At 39.3% G+C, this 23985-nt stretch overlaps 1 pseudogene across 1 annotated transcript; it reads right to left on the reverse strand.

Annotated features, from left to right (window-relative positions):
• Positions 1 to 3128: 3128 nt before the first annotated feature.
• On the reverse strand, positions 3129 to 22645 carry LOC642929 (general transcription factor II, i pseudogene; annotated as a pseudogene). Its single transcript, NR_027472.2, has 7 exons — positions 22456 to 22645; positions 14377 to 14600; positions 7736 to 8159; positions 7465 to 7610; positions 5983 to 6057; positions 5221 to 5372; positions 3129 to 3399 (listed from the first exon to the last, which is right to left on the reverse strand). The product of NR_027472.2 is annotated as a general transcription factor II, i pseudogene (transcript).
• Between the last annotated feature and the right edge of the window lie 1340 nt (positions 22646 to 23985).

A 23985-nucleotide genomic window follows, 5' to 3' on the forward strand; every position in this document is an offset into this window, starting at 1 on the left:
ACCATCTCTCACCATTGCCAGGACCCTGGTCAGAACCACTATCATCTCCTACCTGGATGTTGCCACAGCTTGGCCTCCGTGCTTCTACCCAAATCTTCCCACAATCTTTCTCAACTCAGCCACCATGGGATGCTTTTAAATCAATAGACAGTTCGTGTCACCTCTCTGCTCAGAACCCTTCTGCATCTCCCATCTCAGACAGCATAAAAGCCAAAGCCCCAGCAATAGCCTCCCAGGGCTTGCACAATCTGTACTGATCTGAGTCCCACAACTCCCTGGCCTCCTCCCCTACCTTCTCTCCCCCTCTCTGCTCGACAATCCTCTTTCCTGAGCTTCAGACACACCACGGAGTTCCCTCTTAGCATCTTTATTCTGTTGTTTCTGCCTATAATGCTCTTCCCTCAGTACCTTGGCCAGCTCCTTCCCCTCCTTCAAGTCTTTGCTCAATTTTCACTTAGGAGGCCAACCCTGACCACTCTATTTAATATTGCTATGTGTCCCCATTCCTGCCATGCTCACTCATTTCTTTTTACTTTTTTTTTAAGATATAATCTCGCTGTGTCACTCAGGCTGGGGCACCATGGCACGATCACAACACACTGAGACCTGGAACTCCTAGGTCAAGAAATCGTCCTGCCTCAGCGCCTCTAGTAGCTAAGACTACAAGTGCATGCCACTACACCCGCTAATTTTTTTTTCCCATGTAGACAGGGTATCACTTTGTTGCCCAGGCTTATCTTGAACTCCTGGGCCAGAGCAACCATCCTGCCTCAGCCTCCTAAATAGCTGGAATTATAGGTGTGGGCCACTACCCCTGGCTTCATGTTCATTTCTTCTTGCTGCTGTTACAAACTACCCTACGTTGAGTGGCTTAATACACCACAAATCTACTACCTAACAGGTCTGGGGGCCAGAAGTCCAAAATAGGTCTATTAAGGCTAAAGTCAAGGTGTCAGCAGGACTGCATCCCTTCTGGAGGTTCCAGAGAGAAGATGTTCCCTTGCCTTTCCCAGTTCCAAAAGCCACCCCTATTCTTTGCCTCATGGACCCTAAATGCATCTTCAAAGCCAGAAGCAAAGCATATTCAAATCTCCCTCTGTGACCTGTGCTTCCATCATCAAATCTCCTTCAATTCTGACTCTCTTACCCCCTCTTTCACTTATAAAGACCTCTTGTGATTGCTGGACACAGAGGCCGGGGCTCACAACCATAATCCCAACAGTTTAGGAGGTCAAAGCAGGAGAAATGCTTGAGGCCAGAAGTTCGGGACCAGCCTGGGAAACACAGTGAGACCCCCCCCCTCAATTAAACAACAAAAAGAAATAAGAGAAAATTAGCTGGGCATGGTGGTATGCATCTGTAGTTTCAGCTACTTGAGAGGCTGTCGTGAAAGGATTGCTTTAGCCCCAGAGTTCAAGACCAGCCTCGGCAATATAACAAGATCCCATCTCTACAAAAAAATACAAAAATCAGCTGGGCATGGATGGTGTGCACCTGTAGTCCCAGATGCTTGGAAGGCTGAGGCGGGAGAATTGCTTGAGCCCAGGTGGTTGAGGCTGCAGTTAGCTACGACTGCATCATTGCACTCCAGATTGGGTGAAACAGAGACTCTGTGTTCAAAAGAAAAAGAAAAAAAATACACATTTGGTTTCTGCCCCTCGTCCTGGCACAGAGCTTCTCAAGTTCTTATAAAGGCCTTGGTGATAAAGGTGATAGGACCATCTTTTGTTTGAATATTTGGTCTTAGTCCCAGGTTTCTAACACAAGAGCCTCTAAGACCTTTGGGATCACCATAGTAAGAATGCATTTGGTGATGTTACTGAGATGACTGGGTGACTGAAAGCTCCTAGACAGCTTAAGAAAAAGGGCTGGTTGCCAGAAGAACAAACCATGTGATTAGAGGCTTGGAACTGTCAGCCTCACCCACTGGGCTCCAGGAAGAAATAGTGGCCGAAGACTGACTTAATCACCAATAGTCAATGATTTCATCTATCATGCCTGCCTAAAGAAGCCTTCATAAATGACCTCAACAACCAGATTTGGAGAATGCCGGGGTTGCTGAACACAAGGGAGATAACAGGAAGGTAACACGCGCAATAGAGAGCATGGAAGTTCTGCACCCCTCCCGACCTCCCGACACACCTTGCCCTGTGGTTTTTTTTTTTTTGAAACAGGGTCTGGCTCTGTCCCCCAGCCTAGAGTGCCGTGGCACAATCGTGGCTCACTGCGACCTATGCCTCCCTAGCTCAAGCCCCATCTCTCATCCTCTCACCTCAGCCTCCTGAGTAACTAGAATTATAGGCACTGAGTAGCCAGAACTATAGATCACTGCACCTGGCTAATTTTTAGAAAAACCTTTTTGTAGAGATGCGTTTTCACCGTGTTACCCAGGCTGGTCTTAATCTCCTGAGCACTTAAGCGATGCTCCCGCCTCAGTCTCCCAAAGAGCTGAAATTACAGGCATGAGCCACTGTGCCCAGCATGTACATCTCTTTCACCGGCTGTTTCTGAGATATAGCCTTTAAAATGAACCAGTAAAAGAAAGTAAATTGGTGAGATGCAGTGGCTCACACCCATAATCCCAGCATTTTGTGAAGTTGAGGTGGGAGGATCATGTGAGCCCAGAAATTTGAGACCAGCCTGGGCAACATAACAAGACCCCTTCTCTACAAAAAATAAAAAAACTTAGCCAGATATGCTGGTGCGGGCCTGTAGTCTCAGCTATTTGGGAGGCTGAGGTGGGAGGATCACTTGAGCCCAGGAGTCCCATGCTACAGTGAGCTTTGATCACACCACTGCATTCCAGTCTGGCAACAGACTGAGACCCTGTATCTCAGAAAAAAAAAAAAAAACAATCTGTTTTTCTGAGTTCTGCAAGCTGTCCGAGCAAATGATTCCACCCAGCAACGGGGTCATGAAACCCTGTTTTCTAACTGGTCGGTCAAAACTACATGTAACAACCCAAGACTTGCAATTGGCATGTGGAGTGAGGGTACACTCCTGGGACTGAGCCCCCATCCTGCGGGGTCTGCACTAACTCCAGGGAGTGTCAGGATGGAATTGTGGGATACCCAGTTGGGATCCAGATTGTCTGAAAATCAGTGTAGAAACTCCACATGCACATTTGGTTAGAGGTGTTTAACCATAACTACTATTCACGAAAAAGGTCTACTCATTACAACTGAAAATCATAAAATTGTAAGTTCTACAAAAATAAGTCAACCTTATCTACTGCCCAGTCCTACCAAACTACAGAATGTGAGAACAGAAGGTCTGACCGTGGACTCGAGAGCTGACATTAGGAATGTCACCACCATCCTGCTCTCCAAGGACTCCTCATCTTCAACAAACTCCTCATCTTCAATGGGCAGAGTGGAAACTGCAACTTGTGCCATGATCCTTGCACAAGAAAAGTAGTAAGAAAGTGAGTGGTAGAAATCCAGTGTCCTAAACTCACATCCAGAGCTGTGAGAGCTTTTCCACCGGCTGGATAATTCACAGTTTTCTTGAATCAGGGGAAAAATAAGACTCAGAAACTAGGAATTCGTTTTGCCCAAAACTCTCATCAGATAGAGAATCCATCCACTAACTTTCTGTCTAGTATTATTTCCATAAGTTAGATCAGTATCACTCCCAAAACAAATGCACATGGCACCCAGAATCTGCGCATTTCTCCCAAGTAAAAGAGGAGGTGGATGGGCGCAGTGTCTCATGCCTGTAACCCCAGCACTTTCGGAGGCCAAGGTGGGTGGATCACTTGAGGTCAGGAGTTCAACACCAGCCTGGCCAACATGGTGATACCGTCTCTACTAAAAATAAAAAAAATTAGCCAGGTGTGGTGGCACGTGCCTATAGTCCCAGCTTCTTGGGAGGCTGAGGCAGGAGAATCGCTTGAACCCAGGAGGCTGAGGTTGCAGTGAGCAGAGATCTCAGCACTGCACCTGAGCCTGGGTGACAGAGTGAGACTCTGTCTCAAAAAAAAAAAGGGGGGGGAGGAGGCAATGCACTTTACAACCCAGTGATGGGCTACCACAACTCAACACAGCAAAGAGGTGCCAAGCTCCCTTTCTCCCCTGCACAACCCGACACAGAAGAGTTGGTGCAGTGGAATGAGGTTGAATGGAGAGAAGTTCCTCTTCTTTCCATTTTTTTTTTTTTTTTTTTTTGAGATGGAGTCTCACTCTATCACACAGGCTGGGTGCAGTGGCGCAATCTCGGTCACTGCAACCTCCGCCTCCCAGGTTCAACCAATTCTCTGCCTCAGCCTTCCGAGTAGCTGGGATTAGAGGTGCCCGCCACCACACCCAGCTAATTTTTGTTTGTTTGTTTGTTTAGTAGAGACTGGGTTTCACTATGTTGGCCAGGCTGGTCTTGAACTCCTGACCTTGTGATCCACCTGCCTCGGCCTCCCAAAGTGCTGGGATTACAGGCATGAGCTGCTGCGCCCAGCCAAGAAGTTCCTCTTCTTACTGAGAAAATGGATCACAGGGCATCAAGTAACACATAAAATTCTTTATAATAAGCAGTATTATTTTTGGAAAACCTTTCCTAATATTTTGGTATCAGCAAAAACCCTCAGATTAATTTCAAACACTATAAAAATACAATACATAAACAGAAAATATTAACTGTCAGCAATGCTATAGAGAAATTGGAAGCTGTATGCATTGCCTTTTGGAATGTAAAATGGTACAGCCCACTGTGGAAAATGGTTTAGCAGCTCCTTAAAAATATTAAGCACAGAATTATATGATCCACCAACACCCTTTAAGTGTATATACCCAAAATAACTGAGAGCAGGGACTCAAACAGGTATTTGTACACCCGTTTAACAGCAGCATTATTCACAGTGGCCAAAAGGTAGAACCAACCCTAATGCCCATCAGTAGGTGAATGGATAAAGAAAATGTAATATATACATACACAGAGTATTATTCAGCCATAAAAAGAAAAATATCTGGCCAGATTCAGGGGCTTACACCTGTAATCCCAGTATTTTGGGAGGCCAAGGTGGGCAGGTCTCTTGAGCCCCGAATTTTGAGACCAGGCTGGACAACATGGCACATTTGGTCAGAAGTGTTTGACCATAATTACTATTCAAGAAAAAGATCTACTCATTAGAACTATAAATCATAAAATTATAAATTCTACAAAAACAAATCAACCTTATCTACCACCCAGTACTACCCAATTACAGAATGTTAGAACAGAAGGTCTCACCATGGACTCAAGAGCTGATATGAGCAATGTCACCACCATCCTGTTCTCTGCGGACTCATCTTCAACAGACTCATCTTCAACGGACTCCTCATCTTCCACGGACTCCTCATCTTCAATGGGCAGGGTGGAAACTGCAGCTTGTGCCATGATCCCTGTGCAAGAAAAGTAGTAAGAAATTGAATGGTAGAAATCCAGTATCCTAAACTCACATCCAGAGCTGTGAGAGTTTTTCACTGGCTGGCAAATTGTTTCTTTGCATCAGAGAAAAAAACAAAACTTGGTAACTTGGTATTCGATTTGCCCAAAACTCTCATCAGATAGAGAATTCATCCGCTAACTTTCTATCTAGTATTATTTCCATGAAGTTAGATGAATATCACTCCCAAAATAAATCCACGTGGCAACCAGAATCAATGCATTTCTCCCAAGAGGAGGTGGCCAAGCGCCCACATCTGTAATCCCAGCATGTTGGGAGGCCGAGGTGGGTGGATCAGGAGGTCAAAAGATTGAGACCATCCTGGCCAACATGGTGAAACCCTGGTCTCTACCAAAAATACAAAAAATAGCTGGATGTGGTGGTCTGTGCCTATAATCCCAGCTACTTAGGAGGCTGAGGCAGGAGAATCACTTGAACCAGGGAATCAGAGGTTGCAGTGAGCCGAGATCGTGCCACTGCACTCTAGCCTGGTGACAGAGCAAGACTTCGTCTAAAAAAAAAAAAAGAAAAAAACAGTAAAATACAAAATGTCTTTTTCTCCTAACCTTCTTAGCCTTCTGCTGGTACTTCAATTTCTGCTGGTACTGTTTGGTCATTGCCCTCTAAAGAATGATGGCTTCCTAAAAAGAAAACAAACAACATATAAACCAATAAAAACTCACATTGAAAGATAAAAAATAATCTAGGTGACGATGCAAGCACTTTTAAGACATAATAGGCCAGGTGCAGTGGCTCACACCTGTAAACCCAGCAGTTTGGGAGGCTGAGGAGGGCGGATCACCTGAGTTCAGGAGTTCGAGACCAGCCTGGGCCAACATGGTGAAACCTCATATCTACTAAAATACAAGAAATCAGCCAGGTGTGGTGGCAGGGGCCTGTAATCCCACCTACTCGGGAGGCTGAGGCAGGAGAATCACTTGAACCCAGGAGACGGAGGTTGCAGTGAGCTGAGATCGCGCCGCTGCACTCCAGCCTGGGTGACGAGAGTGAAACTCCATCTCAGGAAAAAAAAAAAAAGACATAATAAACATAAAATATGATTCTATTAACTCTATTAATCCAAATAACGTTTTCTAATTCAGAAGAAATATATAACATGTCTATTTGGTAGCTTAAAAACATTCTTTTAAAATACAAATACAGTAGACCCAAGTAGGCTTGGGGACTTAATATTAGTTACTCTAGCTACATGATAAAATTACTGGATATTGGAATCTGAAGCAGCACAATTATGCTACAAGTACCATGCTCATCTGTCACTGACACACACACACAAGTGTGAATGCCTGCTTTGCTCAATTAACTCTGTAAATAAGTTCAGGATTTGCTGTGGAATGTTCCCTGCTTTCCATTTTCACTATGGTGAAAGTTATGGAAACTCGATCCCCATAATTTAAGCAAAGTTGTACTTAAAGTAACTCATATGTAAAAATTTAAGATACTACCTTTAGTGTCAAAAACATTTTAATCCAAGTAACGTAATCTGCCTGCTTCTAAAAACTGGCATATAAAGCAACAGATCTGTTAGGCAGTCACAAGGTAAACAGGCTCATCCTACTGGAGCAGAAGTTTTACTCACAAATATGAAAGAAATAATCTAAAATATCAGAGTGCCACTTAGGATTAAGACCACAAACTGCCCCCAGTACACATCCTCTGTCCTTAAAGATCTGAGCTACTAACATGGAAAAGATTGAAAAACACTGTCTTCAAGTATAAATAAAAATATATTACATTTCGGTAAGAATACATTGTTTAGGGGGAAGGGAAGCAGATGCTCATCTATTTTGTCCTATCTGTTGATAACTAAATTCAGAAGCTGTACTAAAAGTCAAACAAAAGTTATAAATACATCTCAATTTTTAAAGAGCAATGATTACAGTCAGAAAAACTCATTTGGTGGCTAGTATTCTTGAATTAAAAGTGCCATACCAAAGTGAAATCTTTTTGGTTTTCAACATCTAGCTTTTTCATGTCACAATTATTTTGGGATTCTTTTCCACTTACTGCATATTGTGAAAACTCACCTGAACTCAAAACTCTAGGTAAATCTATAAACCTGTATCTCAGAATCCACCTTTAATTCATTTGTAAAATACACTTTCTCTGCACACATTTCCTCTCTCTTCTTTTAACCGTAATATTTGGATTTAGGGAGCATCAAGTTCCTTGACTGTAAAGTCAACGAAAAAAGAGATATGAAGTCAAAAGAATGGGAGATAATGAACAAGAGGCCAGTAGTTAAAAAGTAAAATTTCAATAAAGAATAACAGTTAAGATGGTCGTTCATGTTATTACCCAAACACTAGGGGTTTCGTCCAGGTCCTCCTGCTCATCGGAGAAAAAGCCAGTCACTGAGGTGACAAGTACTGCCAAGGAAGAAAGCTTTAACCTGGTGCTGCGGCCCAGGAGCTGGAAGCTCAGTCTCAAATCCATGGGCTTGACTAATAGGGGCAGGAAAAAAATTTAACAATGTATAAGAGAACAGAAATTAGGGAGGGGCAGGAGGCATGTGGTGCTGTGATCTGGTATGTTTCAGTTATCTGATACTTCCTGAAGGTCTTTTTTTGAGGAGAGAACTCAGATACAACAGATCCAAGTTTCAAGCTTTAACAGCAGGGTCAATTTTGACGTTCATCCAAAAAAAACCCATCCATTGGGACAACAGGGCCGGTGTCAATGTAAGCAATGATTCTGTAGTTCCTCTTTGTTCTTTCAAAATCTGAAATAAACAATTGAATTTATATTATATGCTAAATCTAAAGAAAATACATCTTGTTGTACTTGAGGCCAGAAGAGATAGAAGTAAGGCAGTCAAGTTTGGGAACATTATAAAAAATTCAAAAAAAGTAATAAATGCATAAAACTTACAGAGTAACAAGTGCTATTTCAGAATTCTTCTAAATACTAAGTATTGACATGACCTTATCAATATTTGCATTACTAACCATACAATAAGAACCTGACTTCTGACTGTTCTGAGATAAGGGATAAATGTGTACTTTACCTTAAATGGGAAAGTGCATCATGTACCCACTTCGAGATTCACAACAGGGAAAACTGATTTGAAAAATTGTTGCTTGTGAAGTTCATTTATATGTTAAAAAAAGGCCAATACATTTTCCCTTTTCCACATAGAAAAGGAACACTATACTTATAAATACTAAAACACAGTCTGTGGAATACAAGGAACCAATAGAAACAGTATGTAGGAAAATGGAAGTGAAAAGATTATACATTGCAAAGACTTCAGTAGAAGGAGTTTTTCATCAACATCATCAGTTTCAGAAGGGCCTGCTTTGGGATACAAAGACAATACTTCAACAGTAACTCCCCCAAGCCAGACGCAGTGACTTATGCCTGTAATCCCAGTAATTTGGGAGGCCAAGGCAGGCAGTGAGGTCTGGAGTTCAAGACAAACCTGGCCCAACAGGGTGATACACCGTCTCTACCAAAAAATACAAAAATTAACCAGGTGTAGTGGCATGCACCTATACAGTCCCAGCTATATGGGAGGCTGAGGCAAATGTACTCATTTTTTCATTCCTGCACCCAAGAAACTGCAACCAATCTACTCTGTTAAGAGCAGAGATAAAGGGTTTAGACTCCATATTACATGTGAAATAGAAGAAATGAATCAGTTTAGTATGAACTTGTATGCACTTTTGGAGAGGAAAGTAGGTCAAGAAGCCATTAAGATACATGAAGGAAGGTCAAATCTTAAAGAAAACTAGAAATTCAGATTTATTTACATAGCTCTAGAAGGAAGAACCAGGAATAGTGGAGAATGAATGTAGAAAACATTTTTAGTGAATGAAAGCATGAGATGATAACACAAGCAGCCACCAATGGAACAAACTGATGTGCAACAGCGGATTTGCCGTCACTGAAGCTATCCAGTTTCCAACTGTTGCAGGTATTACAGAGCTATCAAGAGTTTTAGTAGGCGGCTGGGGTTCCTTTCAGATCTGACATGGCATGATGCCAAAATGCTGTACATGTTCTCATCTTTTTATGGCTCATTTTTTTTCTCTCTTCAGGTTTCTTAACCTTTTATCTACTTCCCTCTATTAATAATCACCTAAACCATACACTCAGTCTTCTGAAGTAAATTTCTTTATCTTTCACTTCACAAATAAACATCTTTGATGGATGAAAACACCGCAGGAAAGCCACCTAAGCAGATATGACTTCTCAACTTTTTTTTTTAAGTGATTTCCATTCATCACTAATTCCAAACAAAACAATTACAAACTATCATAAAATTATTAGAAAGTGAAAATGGGAAGCATTGGTTAAATATGTGTTTAGTATGCTTCACCATGTCCTCAAACATATTTAAAAAGTTAATCCACACTTCTTTAAGTGCATTGGGGGACTTGCTTTAGATTAAGAAATATGTTAACTATTTCAGGACACTAAGGACCTTACAAATCTGAATTAGCTCAGATTGGCTGCTATCTCCTCAATTATTTTCTGATAAATAAGAAACAAACAGTAAATAGCAACTTGCAGAAAATCTACCAGTAGTACACAAGGGCAGCCAAACTTCAAAATTCTTGCCACTCAAACTCTAGACGGTTACTATTTACTAAAATGTAAATAATAAAAAGACTTTTCTCAATCTTGTCCTCCAGAAAGAAAAGCCATAAAGTTCAAACACTAACCAAAAAAAGGGTAAGGAGAAACGTTTATATATTGGCGTTCCTTTTATTAGTGTCTTCACATACAACACTCCTCAATTTTAAACACCGCTTTCTTTCAGAAGACAAAACCAAGACAAAATGGTAGAAATCAAAGGGTTACAGACTTTGATTTAAAAGGCATAACCTTTTCAAAAATGAGAGCTATCGATGGAACACTTCTGAGAAGAAATTCCCTGGCACTAGGATAGAGGTTGGAAAACCATCTTTCCAGGTGCTCTAAAATAGAATCCTCTCATAGTGCAAGAGTCCTTCTAATTCTAGGGGTCTAGGATTATTTTTATTATTATTGTTACCTTTCCCGTTCTGGAAAACCCTCAAGACTCTGTCTTGTAAATGTCACCAACCCAGTAGGTTCTACAGAAGCAATAAAAGAAAAACATACCCAAAATAAGTTTCAATTTTGAAAACATTATACACACACACGTGCACGCGCGCGCACACACACTCGATAAAAGAATAGGTCTAACATTGACTATAAAACTAACCAGGAAATACAAAGCCTAGCATTGGAAAATAACAGAATATTGATTGAAAATATTATCCTTACAGTAGAAACTCCTATAAAACAGTAAGACTTCACTAAACGAAACTATACAAATAACAGCACAACAGTAGGATTTGAGTGCTGGTACTTTTTGGTAAAGTTTTGAAGCTGAATACACTTTTAAAAATAAAACCATTGAAAAAAAGGATGTATAACTGGTACAGCTTATGCAGTAAAGACAAAACTGAATTCAAATTTGTAGACTCCTTTACAAAGAAAGGACTTAACCCTACATTCAAAGACTGGTGAATAAAGACACATTTATGTACTTTGTAGTAAAGTGAAATGCCACAGCTTTAAAAAGAAAATCATTTGCACATCCTCTGAAGTTAGTAAAGCTAAGTTTCAGGCTTAGATAGTGGGCAATCACTCTACTTGTTAGTAGCAGTCTTAGCCAGAGAAGAAATTACTGGTTCTAAGAGTTTACAGAATAAAGATGACATATTTTTCAAGAAGCAATACATTTGGGAGGATCAAAATGGAGTAGTATTAATGTAGTCAATAATTTTAAGAGGATGAGATCCTTTTCTAGTCAGATTTATTTATTTTTTAAAGCTAGTAGCAAAAGAAACAAATATATCAGCTGGCCAGAAGTAATTTGTCTGACTCAAATCAAAGAGCAAACTAAAAAGGCTATGCCATTTCTGTTTTCTTGAATAGAAAAAAGCTCTTAAGGAAAGAGAGAGATGTCAGGAACTATTACTGATGACAGTGTATAACCCAGTGAAAGCCTGGCCATCATTTCATTCCTATGCACAATTCCACATTTCCTTGTTCTCAGTCAAAAGCAGGAACCACTCAAAAACCATACGGAGCAGTTGCAGAAGAAAACAAAATTTTTTGTTAACATAGGTCTTACATTCTTTAGATATCTAACTTTAAGATAAACGGATAACATATTTAAAACTCACGAGTAAGTGGTCAAACAACTCTAACACTAGAGATGCAATTCCATGAATATAATAGAAAACATCTCTCTTGTCATTCGGTAACTTAGCAGAGAAGTAAGAACACCAAATGTCCTTCATATATACTAAGAGATGCTAAGAGAAATTCGTAAACACTGCTGGCAAAGCAAGAAAAGGCAGAAGAACATGGTTTCTCAGATTAACAAAAAATGCCTTGAGAGCATGTCTGTTAGCTTTCTTTTTCATAACAAGGCAACTTTCATCTCAGAATAGGATACTCTGATTAATCAAATACTTCCCATAATAAAATCACAATATATACTACATACAGGTCATAAATTTTCAAAAATCTGATCTATAAGATACTTTATCTAAAACTATATAAAAAGTAATTTAATTCAGAAGGCTTTTTAAAACATTTCAGTCTCAAGATCCTCATCAAATATAAAATACACGTTTAACAATCCTGAAAAGTTGGTCCTGATGGAATTCTATTTTATCAATTCTAAAAGGCGGGTTTTTCCACATACTACATTTCTGAAACTGGAATACATCTTTTATAATGGAGGTATCTTACCATAGGTCTAGACTAGAGGAGAATTTTCCCAGAGAAGATGTGCATCTGCTTCTGCTGTCATCTGGGAACACTATCAGCCCAACACCATCTGAATTAATCCTTTGTGGCAGGCCTTTGTGGACCACACTGGTGGTAAGGCTGCACACCCAAAGCTTAGGGTTTGTGGTTCAAATTCTCAGAGAAATGTTTCTTTCTTTCTCTATTTAGTGTCAAGGTTGAGACTTGCATGCTTCTTTATGGTCCCTTTTCTGGATGGTCAAGTTAATTTCTCATTTATCCCTAGGTGTACCAGCCTTGTGGGTTAGGTCTCCTACTAAACTCCCTGTCCTGAGTGTTTTTTCCTTCTTAGAGGTATATAATGTAATAGCACTTTTTAAAAATAATCTATGACATCTTAGATTCGATGAAATATGGTACCTTAAATAAGCTTCTCAAGTCTATTGAGTAGGCTCCAGAACTTCTACACAACGACTCATTATACTGCAACCTCTTTTATTCTCTTTAGGATTTCCTCTTTAAACCGTTAGCTTTACATACTGCAGACCAAGAGCAATGTTGTACTGTATTTCTACAAAGAACTTAATTAACATGTACAGTAAAAAAGTCAGAAAATAAAATGTCTAGTTATAATTTATTTCTTCAAATTCCAAATACTTATAATGGCATATACATTTCTAGTTTAAAAAACAAACTTTTAGCTTTTTCCTCAAAGTATCTGAAATCCTAAAATGTAGAAAGCCAAGTTAGTTTTTAGAGAAGACATACATGATTTGACTCCCAGGACAAAAAAGTAAACTCTGTACTACTTAGTTATAACAATTCTACTTAAAACGGCAACTCAAAGTACTGTAAAAACAAAACAAAAAAGACCAACAGTAATAATTCTACTTAGACCTAGAATAGCCAAAAAAAAGTAGTCATTTTTTTTTTTAGACATAATCTTGCTCTGTCACCCAGGCTAGAGTGCAGTGGCACAATCTCAGCTCACTGCAACCTCCACTTCCTGGGTTCAAGTGATTCTTGTGCCTCAGCCTCCCAAGTAGCTGGGATTACAGGCTCCTGCCACCACACCTGGCTAATTTTTTTATTTTTTATTAGAGACGGGGTTTCACCATCTTGACCAAGCTGGTCTGGAACTCCTGACCTCGTGATCCACCACGCCTGGCCTTACGTAGTCATCTTTTTAACAAGTCATTACAAATTCTAATTTGATTTTGTGTCTCATAGGTCCAAATGATTCTGCATTTTAATATTTCATTCAGTACAGGGCACAAAACTGAAATTCAATAAGCTATGAGATAAATAATTCCGTATCAGAGAAGCATATAATTTTCCCTTAAATATTAAAATCCTGATAATTGATTTCATTCTAAAAATTTAACAATGTCCAATAGCAATACATTCAAGGGGGAAGATGCCAAGTACACTGTAATGCAAGAGTAAAAGAAGGATATGAGAAAAATGACCTTAAAATTATTCAAAGACATGTTTTAAGACAATCCTACAACCCAGAACTGAAAAAAAGCCATTTCACTTGACCAGGTTGACATTACCTACTTAGCACAAAGAAACTTTTAAGGTGTTCTGGTTTACATCCACTTGTAGGAAAGGCGACCCATTGATAATAGCTTACATTTATTAAGCATGTATCTCCTTGTTTAATATCTATAACTACCCTGTAAGATAATAACATTATATTATTTCATAGGTGATAAAACTGAAGCTTAGAGGTGTCAAGAAACTTGACCACAGTCATTCAGCTTCTGAGATAAGAGTGGCAATACCAATCTATTATCAGCTGGTCATTACCAGTATTTGTTGGACATTTACTATTACTGCCTCAGCTGCTATCAGGTTTTGGGGAAGCAAGAATGTTAAGGTTCAATAGAGGAAGATGGATATAAAACTCAGTACAAAACAGTTTTATGAGAACTCCACAAAGGGCTTAGGGGGGCACAAAAGAGAGGAATGGGTAGAAAAGCAATGCGTTAGTTGACTTATACAAATAAACTAGTGAATGCTTCTTTAAATAAAGAGCATCCAAAATTTATTTCCTGGTCAATATACTTTCTCTGATTTTTATTCATGAAAATGTTTTGATGTATAGAATATGTGTCCGATTTCAGAGTATGTAAACCCCGCCCCCCTACATTTATAGCACACATTTATGCTTATACACAACACAAGCATAAAACCGAAGTTACCTTGTTGCATCATTACTGTTTCAATGTAGTTGGGATAGGAAGGTTTACGTTAAACACAAAATGTTCCTCACATGTCACTTGACTTGAACTGTTCCCATCAGCAAGAAAAATTACTGCAAGAATGAAAGGAGTTCACTTTTCTCTGTGACTGTTCCAAAGAAGCGGAAGAGCATTTTAAGTTTCTCCGGTTTCCTTGATCAATGTCCCTCAAACAACCTAAAGGACTTAAAAAATAAGAGAATGAAAGATGAGTTAAAATGCCTTAATGATTCAGAAAGCTACATCCATATTGCTACCAAGTAACAAAAAGAAATAATTGTTCCAGAAGACAATTCTGTAATGATAAGAACTAGAAAATTGGTTTAGATTCAAATGGCATCTGGAGAGAACTGAAATCAACTAGAACCAGCCTTCTTTAAAGCTGTTCAAATCAGACAGCATTTGCTACCAACCACATTTCTCCAACCTATCTTCCACCACAGAGAAGGCACCATCTAGCCCTCCCAGTCAATTGGGGTCAGTCAGTGCACAGCTACTTTCTCAATGGCTAATAACATTTATAATTCATAATGTTACTACGTAGTTTGATAAGTAACAATAACAGTATCTGAAAAAAATCCTTATCTGAGTGTTTTTGAGGAAATGAGAGTGGAGGGGAATGGGGGAAGGACACAGGCAGGTATAACAAGATATCAGGGCTCAACAATCCTTGTTAATTAAACAACTAGTTTCTTTTACGGACTGAACGTTTGTGCCCTCTCAAAATGTATATGTTGAATCTTTAATCCCTAATATAGCTAAATTTGGAGACAGGGCCTGTGAGGAGGTACTAACAGTTAAATGAGGTCATGGGGTGGGACTCTAATCTGATAGAACTGGTGTCGTTTTAAGACAAGGTGAGACTACAGTACTCTCCCCTTTGCCATGTGAGGACAAGATGCCAGCCAACCTATAAGCCAGGAAGAAAGCCCTCATCAGGAACCAAAGCAGCAGCACCCTGATCTACAGCTTCTAGCCTCCAGAACCGTGAGAAAATTAAGCCACCCAGTTCTATGGTATTTTATTATGGCAGCCCAAGCTGACTAATAGAGATCCTTTGCACGGTAACCAAAACAGTGCCTACCCTGTGTCATCTAGTTTTCAGCAACCCGGACTTGGATTACTTAATTCAGTTTCCTTTGAAATGATGTGGCATTGTTATTGGTAACATGTAATTCAGTTTATTCTGAGGAAAGAAAAGCAGGGCTTTAAAAGCATTATGACCTGAGTAAGTAGTTCACTAAAAAATTTGTAACACAAAAGCATGCTTTTGAGTATGAGATCTAGCTTTCCAAAGGCATTTAGAAATTATAGAGACTCAGTGGCTATGAATGATGAGGTACTCTTCATCTGCCTCTAGCCATGTGCTCTGACTTTAAAACCAGAGACCCTTCAAGTAAAGTCCACGTTAGTAAGTGCTGAAATGGGTAATTATTTTTCATGATTACAACAGCAAGCTTATGTAACTACGCTGAGAGGGAAAAGTTAATTCCATGAGAAAATCCTATTGAGCGACTGAAATAAATTAGGAAAAGGAAAGGAAATGCAGATTTCAAATGGTTCCGTTTTCAACGATCTGAAATCTGTATTCAAGGCCAATTTCTGGAAAAACAATTTATGTGAATATTTATTTCCTAGAAAGAATACTAATGTAGGCTAGTATTTTAACCAAATCTAAAATCAGATCTCTTTTTTAAAAGTTTAAGACAGCCTGTGTGATAATTTTTATTTATTTAAAAGAATCTGTCTTCTAAAATATTTAATACACATACTCTTATAATCCAGTTGCTAGTTGAAACAGGATACAGGTTAAATAAGATAGTATTTCTAAATGGATTCTGAACGGATTAAAACTCAATAAAATGGACATTTTATTGAGTGAATGGAGAGATCTAATCCATCTGGCAAGTCAGTTAAGAGAGCTTCTGCTGCCATTTTTATTGACATGTAATAGTGTAATAAACTCACATGTAATACTGTAAAGCTCTGTAAAAAAATTTTAACCTAGCCTATTTGTTTAAAGGAGATGTTAACAATTCATGCTCCCTTGAACCACTTCATTTTTGCTTTTAGGACAGGACTGTTCATTAACACACACAATCAATTACTAAACACAATTACTGAAATAAATATTATCAAGCAGTAACCAAAAAATTCAACGTAAGGCTATCATACCCAAACTCCAATATCCAGAAGCCAATTTAAGTAACCCATGCCTCCTTGGCGAAAGTGTATGGATATTACCTTTTCCTTGTGATAGTAAAACCTATCCATTTTCTTACATCACCCAAGTATCAGCTTTTACGCTTCTACAAATAAAGCAGACAATGAACATACTGTGTAGAAATCTTGAGCCCTTAATTAAAAGGTACTCACAGAGTTGTATCTAAATCATTGGCTACAATGATCTAAAACACACACACAGTTATAGCTAGGTCATTTGCTACAGTGATCTAAACCACTTCATTTACATCTTAGTATTAATCACAGGACAAAAACGCTAATATTTTCAGAACTACAGCCAGTGTTGCTATCTGGCACAGGCAACGTGTCTTCAAAACCCCATGATACTATGTGTTTGCCCCCAAGTAAATAGGAGGGAGATCCAGGCGCCCCTTCCAAAAGCAACAGCTTAGAGGAGAGAAGGAAAATCAAAGATACTGAGACGATTCATTTTAGCCAAAAGCGAACCTGCCACCCCCAAGAGCAAAAAACAAAATCTGAAAACTAAGATGTATGTTATTATATGTTATTCACAGAACTTATTTGCAATATTTTTAAAGAAAAAATTACAAAACCGTGTTTCTCAAAATGTTACAATAAAATTTTATGTGTGTAAAGTCTATCTATTTTACGTGTACATTTGTGTGTGTGTAAAAGAGAGGGGATTATGAATAAGGAAGCGTATGTACCAAAACATTAGAAGTAGTTATCCTTGGGTAATGAGATTATGATTTTCACTTTCCTCTTTATACCTTAATATATCATCTCCAAATTTACAATCAGAATTCATTATAAAGCTATTGCATTTTTATTTATTTATTTATTTTGTGAGACATGGTCTCACTCTGTCACCCAGGCTAGAGAGTGCAGTGGCGCAATTTCAGCTCACTGCAACCTCGGCCTCCCAGGCTCAAGCGGTCCTCCCACCTGAGCCTCCTGAGTAGCTGAGACCAATCAAAGTTAAGTTTTCTTCGGTTTAAAGTAACTTGTTATAATTATGTTGTTTAGCCTCATGGTAACCAGAAAACAAAAATCAACAGACACTCTAAACATAAAAAGCAAGGAATTAAAACACTACCAGAAAAAATTACTTCACTACAAATAAAGACAGGAAGAAAGGCAAAGAGGAAAGAGAAGAAATAAAAAGAGATCAGAAAGAAAAGAGGAAGGGAGAAAGAACAAAAGAAAAAGTAGCAAAACAATCAAGAAAGTAAAAAATGGCAGTAGTATGTTTTTATCTATAATAATCTTGAATGTAAATTAAATTAAGACAGAGTGGCTGAATGGATTAAAAGACCCAATTATGTCCTGCCTACAAGGAACTCAGTTCACCTATAAAGACATACACAGACAAAGTCAAGGGATGATAAGAGATATTCCATACAAACGGAAACAAAAAAAGCAGGAGTAGCTATACTTAGATAAAATAGCCTTTAACTCAAAAAAAGAAAAAATAAAGATAATTATATAATGAGAAAGAAGTAAACAGCCGTTAAGTGCATATGCAACCAACACTCAAGCACCTAAATATAGATGCAAATATTAACAGGCTTTAAAGGACAGAGGGACTGCAATACAATAATAGAGTACCTCAACACTCCACCGTAATCAACACCCCACTATCGCGAACGGACAGATCATCCAGACAACAAAACATCATCAGTTAAACTGTACTCTATACAGAATGGACCTAACAGACATTTACACAGCTTTTCACTCTGCAACTGCACAATGCTCATTCTACTGAGTGGCACATCGATTATTCTACAGGACAGACTGTGTTAGGCCAAAAAACAAGTCACAACACTTTTTTTTTTTTTTTGAGGTGGAGTCTCTGTCTCCCAGGCTGGAGTGCAGTGGCACTATCTCGGCTCACTGCAAGCTCCGCCTCCCGGGTTGACGCCATTCTCCTGCTTCAGCCTCCGGAGGAGCCGGCCACCACGCCCGGCTAATTTTTTGTATTTTTAGTAGAGACGGAGTTTCACCGTGTTAGCCAGGATGGTCTCGATCTCCTGACCTCGTGATCCCGCCTCGGTCACCCAACACATTTTTAAAAACTGAATTCATATCAAGTATCTTTTGTGACCACAGTCGAATAGTATTAAAAATCAATAACAGATAGAACTTTAAAAACTGTACAAATACATGGAAATTAAAATACACACCCATGAACAACCAATAAAAGAAACGAAGAAAACACAAGGGAAATTAAATATTTATTGAAACAAGTAAGAATAGAAACACAACATAACAAATCCTGTGGGATGCACCAAAGGCAATTCTAAGAGGAAAAGTGTATAGCTATAAATGCCTGCATCAGAAAAGTAGGAAGATCTCAAATAGCCTGACAGTACACCTCCAGTAATGAGAAAAACAGGAACAATCAAATGCTAGAATTCGCAGAAAAAATACCATAAAGATTAGAGAAGAAATTTTAAAAATAGAAACAAAAAATACAAAAAGTCAATGAAACAAAAGCTGGGGTGTTTTTAAAAAAAAATCAAAATTGACGAGTTTTAACTAGATGAAGTTAGATAAGAAAAAGAAAACAAAGTCATAAAGAAGGCATTACAACTGGTAACCCAGAAATACGAAGCATTAAGAGATTACTAAAAACATCACAAACAAATTGAAAAATCTGGAAGTGAATACATTTCTAGACACATAACGAATTCCCAAGATAGAATGATAAAAAATAAAAATAAAAAACCTGAACAGACCAATAATGAGTAATGCAATTAAAGCAGTCATAAAAAGTCTCCTGGCAAAGAAAAACACAAGAATCATGGTTTTCCTGCTGAATTACCAAACATTTTTAAAAGAGCTAATATGTATTTTACTCAAAATATTCCCCATAAAATGAAGACGAAGAAAGGCTTCGAAACTTGTTCTATGAGGACAGCATGACCCTGGTACAAAAACCAGACCAGAACACAACACAAAAAGGAAACCACAGGCAAATATCCCTGATGAACAGAGGTGTAAGAAATCCTCAGCAAAATACTTGAAAATTGCATTTGACAACGCAATAAAAAGATCATCTGCCATGATCAAGTGGATTTCATTCATCCCAGGAATATGAGGATGATTCAATAAACACAAATAAATAAATATGCAACATCACATTCAGCAAATCAACAACAAAAACCATATAATCATTTCAGTAGACGCTGAAAAAATTAAAAGTCAACATTCCTTCATGATAAAAACTCAACAACATGAGTACAGAAGGAACATATCTCAGTGCAATAAAGGCCATATATGACAAACCCACAGCTAACATAATCAATAAGGAAAAGTTAAAAGCTCTTCTCCTCTAAGATCTGGAACAAGTGTGGCTACTTTTACACCACTTTTGTTCATCATAATACTGGAAGTCCTAGCTAGAGCAATTAGGAGAATGCAATAAAAGGCATCCAAATTGGAAAAAAGGAGTCAAATTGTCTGTTTCCAGGTGACATGAACATATATAGAGAGAACCCTAAAGATTCCACAAAAAACCTACTAGAAATAATAAATTAGTCAAGTTCCAAGATACAGTATCAAAATATAAAAATGAATACTACACCCATGCACCAATAGTGAAATATCTAAGAAAGAAATCAAGAAAGCTATTTCATTACCAAAAAAAAAAATGATATCTAGGAATAAACTTAACCAAAAAGGCAAGAGATCCCAAAATGAAAACTTCATAAAACATAGATGAAAGATACTAAAGCAGACACAAGTAAATGGAAAGATATCCCATCTCTATGCACTAGAAGAATGTTAAAATATGTGTATCACCCAATGTGATCTACAGAATCAATGCAATCCATGTTCAATTACAAGACATTCTTCACTGAAATAGAAAAAGAATCTTAAAATTCACATGGAAGTTCAAAATACCTCAGATAGACAAAAGAATGTGGAATAAAAAGAAAAGCTGGAGGCATCACACTACCTGATTTCAAAATATACTACAAATTTATAGTAAGGATGGTACTATCAAAACAGCATGGTACTATCAATAAAAGGGGCGGGGGAGAGACAAGAGAGATGAACGAATGAGACAGACAGACATAGACAAGTGAAACAGAATAGAGAAATCATAAATAAATTCACGCGTTTACGGTCAATTCATTTTTAACAAAGGCCCCAAGAACACACCTTCGGGAAAGACAATCTCTTCAATAAACTGTACTAGGAAAACCCAACACCCACATGTACAAGGATACATCTAGGCCATTACCTTACCATATACAAAAATCTACTCAAAATAAAGATTTAAATACAGGACCTGAAACTATGAAACTACCAGAGAAGAAAACATAGGATAAATGCTTCATGAAATTGGTTAGGACAAGGAATTTTCAAATAGACATCAAAAGCACAAGCAACGAAAGCAAAGATGTAATTACATTAAACTTAAAACCTTTTCCAAAGCAGAGGAAGCAATCAGTATAATGAAGACAGAACCCGAGAATGGAAGAAAGTCTTTGCAAACTATGCATCAGGCAAGAGGTTAATACACAAAATATCTAAAGAACTCAAACTACTCAAAAGTGAAAATACAAATAATCTTATTTTTAAAAATCCACCCAAAACTTTTGTCCCCCACCATTTCCCCACCTTCTTTTCCCGACCGCATTTCGCCCTCTCCCTCTCACCACCCTTTCTCTTCCTCCATCTACCCCCAAACGTTTTCACCGTTTTCTCCCCACCATCATTTCGTTTTCTCCCCGCCCCACCCCGCGTCATTTCGCAAAGCCTTCTCTATTCTCCCGCTCACCACGCTTTTCCCCAACCATCTACCCAAACACTTTCTCCCGTTTTTTCCCACCGTATTTTCCCCCTTCTCCCTGGCCACCCTCTTTTTTCCCCCTCCTGCTGTCATCATGCCCTTTTCCTCCTCCATCTAAGCAAAAACATTTCCCCCCCGTCTTTTCCCAAAGCCTTTTCCCCACTCCTGCTGCTCACCACCCTCTTTTCCCCCTTTATCTACCCAAAAACTGTTTTCCTCATTGTCTTTCCTCCTGCTCCTCCTTGCCACTCTTTCCCTTCTCCATCTACCCAAAAACATTTCCCCACCATCTTTTCTCGAAGCCTTCTCCCCACTCCTGCTCACCTCCCTCTTCCCCCATCTACCCCCCAAAATTTCCCCATATTTTCACAAAGTCTGCCCCCTCTTCCCACTCGTCCTCTTCTCTCCCCTATCCTGCTTGCCACCCTTTTTTTTGCCCTGCATCTATCCCAAACTATTTTCCCGTCTTTTTCCCAACCTTCTTTCCCTGCTCCCTTCTCGCCACCCTCTTTCTCCTCCTTGTCACCCTCTTTCCCTCCTCCATCTACCCAAACACTTTTTACCTACCATCTTTTCTCCACCATCTTTCTTTTCTGCCACTGTTTTTTCGCAAAACCTTGTCTTCCTCCCGCTAGTTACCCTCTTTTTCCTTCTCCCACTTGCTATCTTCTTCTGCTCCTCTATCTACCCAAAAACTTCTCTCCCCACTGTCTTTTCACAAAACCCTCTCTCCCTACTGCTCGCCCATTTCCCCCACCTCACCACTCTCTCCTCTCCCCAATTGCCACCATCTTTTCCCCCTTCATCCACCCATAAACTTCCTATCCACCGTCTTTCTGCAAAACCTTCCCTCACTCCCGCTCCACAACCCGTCTTTCCACCTCCGTCTACCCAAAACCTTTTTTCCCCACCATCTTTTCCCCATCGTCTTTTTGCAATGCCTTCTCCTCCTCGCTATCCTTTTTTCCCTTTGGCAATAACCAAACTCTTTACCCACCCCTCTATCTATCCCAAAACTATTTTCCTCTTCCTACCCTTCCAGCCGCGCTGCAATCGCAATCTCCACTGCCACCACCAACCATAGCGAGGCGAGCTGCGCCTCTGTGCCGTGTCTCAAGCCTCCAGCATACGGCCGGTGACTCCTTTTCCTGGTCCTCTAAGCTGGGCACTGAGCAGCTCAACAGTAAAACACCCAACCCTAAAAAAAAAAAAAAAAAAAAAAACCGTAACGGCTCTTCAGCATCATTTATATACGGAGGTTATGCGCATGCCGGTTCCTAGACTTCATGTTCTGATTGCATAAGAGCAAGTCTTAAGATAACCAATCACAGCATGAAAATAAAGTCCAATCAGAGTAGGCCTAGAGGTTTTTCTCTCATCCAATCAGAACATGTAGTCCAGGATCCGTAACTTCAGTATATAAAGCATGCTGAGGAAGTGGTGCGTCATTTTTGGGTCTTCTGTGTCGGTGTGTCCAGCTGCTAGGTACCTGGGTTAGAGAACTAGAAGGGTCCATTAGTTTTCACCGCCTGGAGCCTGGAGCCTGGAGCCTGGGGCGCTGCCTCCCTGTTGGTGGTGTTGGTGACGGAGCGGTAGGAGGGAGGCTAGCAGCAGGAGCTTCTCCTGCCGGGCTGGAAGACGAGGAGAAGGAAGAGACACCGCTGCATGCTGGAGGCTGGAGCCAGAGCCTGCGCCTCCGTGGCTTACCTCGCTGCAGTTGGTGGTGACATCAGAGACCACAGCTCGGCTACAGTGGTAGCAATGTGGTTGCAGTGAGCCAAGATTGCATCACTGCTCTGCAGCCTGGCGACAGAGCAAGACACCATCTTAAAAAAAAAAAATTGACCCAGTGTTTTGCATGTTTCAGAAAAACAAATGATACCATTATTTAATATGCTGCAGTAACTAGAAGCCTACTTATAAAGTTGGTGGCAAATAAGTCATTGGTATATGTTAACTTCCTATAATCACTTACATGTTCCTAAGAGTCACTTTGTGTATTTATATAAGAAGGTCAGCATGTAAATGAGTATAGATAGAGAAACTTTTTGTTGAAAAGTAAGAAAGCTTGTCTCCCTTTTCCTAGTTATGAAGGAACCACCACCACAACAAAATAAAGCATATACTTTGTTTATAACCCTGAATCATGATTTATGGCCAGATTATCCTAGCATCCAACTGCCTACCTTGGCATTTATCAGTTGAAATGAGTCCAGAGAAAGGAATTATTTTTTATATATCTGCTGCTCTTGAAGGAGAAACCTTCTTTAGAGGTCACTTGTAAGAACAGGTTCCCAAATCCCCTATATCCAAGGCACTCTGGGCTGCCTGGGAACTCTACAAATCACAGTTTTGAGGGGTTCACTTTTCTGGTTGAAATTTATCATAGTTTATATGATGAAAGGATGACAGGTAGATATTCTTTAAGAGTTGAGGATGTGTTATGTTACCAAGGATTGTAAATATTTAATGAGAAAATGAGTTAGAGTTTCAATAATATTGATGGGACCTATTATCACTCACTTTCATCTAAAGCTCAGTGTTACTTCAAAGCATAAAATCAA

The sequence above is a fragment of the Homo sapiens genome, chromosome 9 (genome assembly GCF_000001405.40).
Source record: "Homo sapiens chromosome 9, GRCh38.p14 Primary Assembly".
NCBI classification, from domain to species: Eukaryota; Metazoa; Chordata; class Mammalia; order Primates; family Hominidae; genus Homo; species Homo sapiens.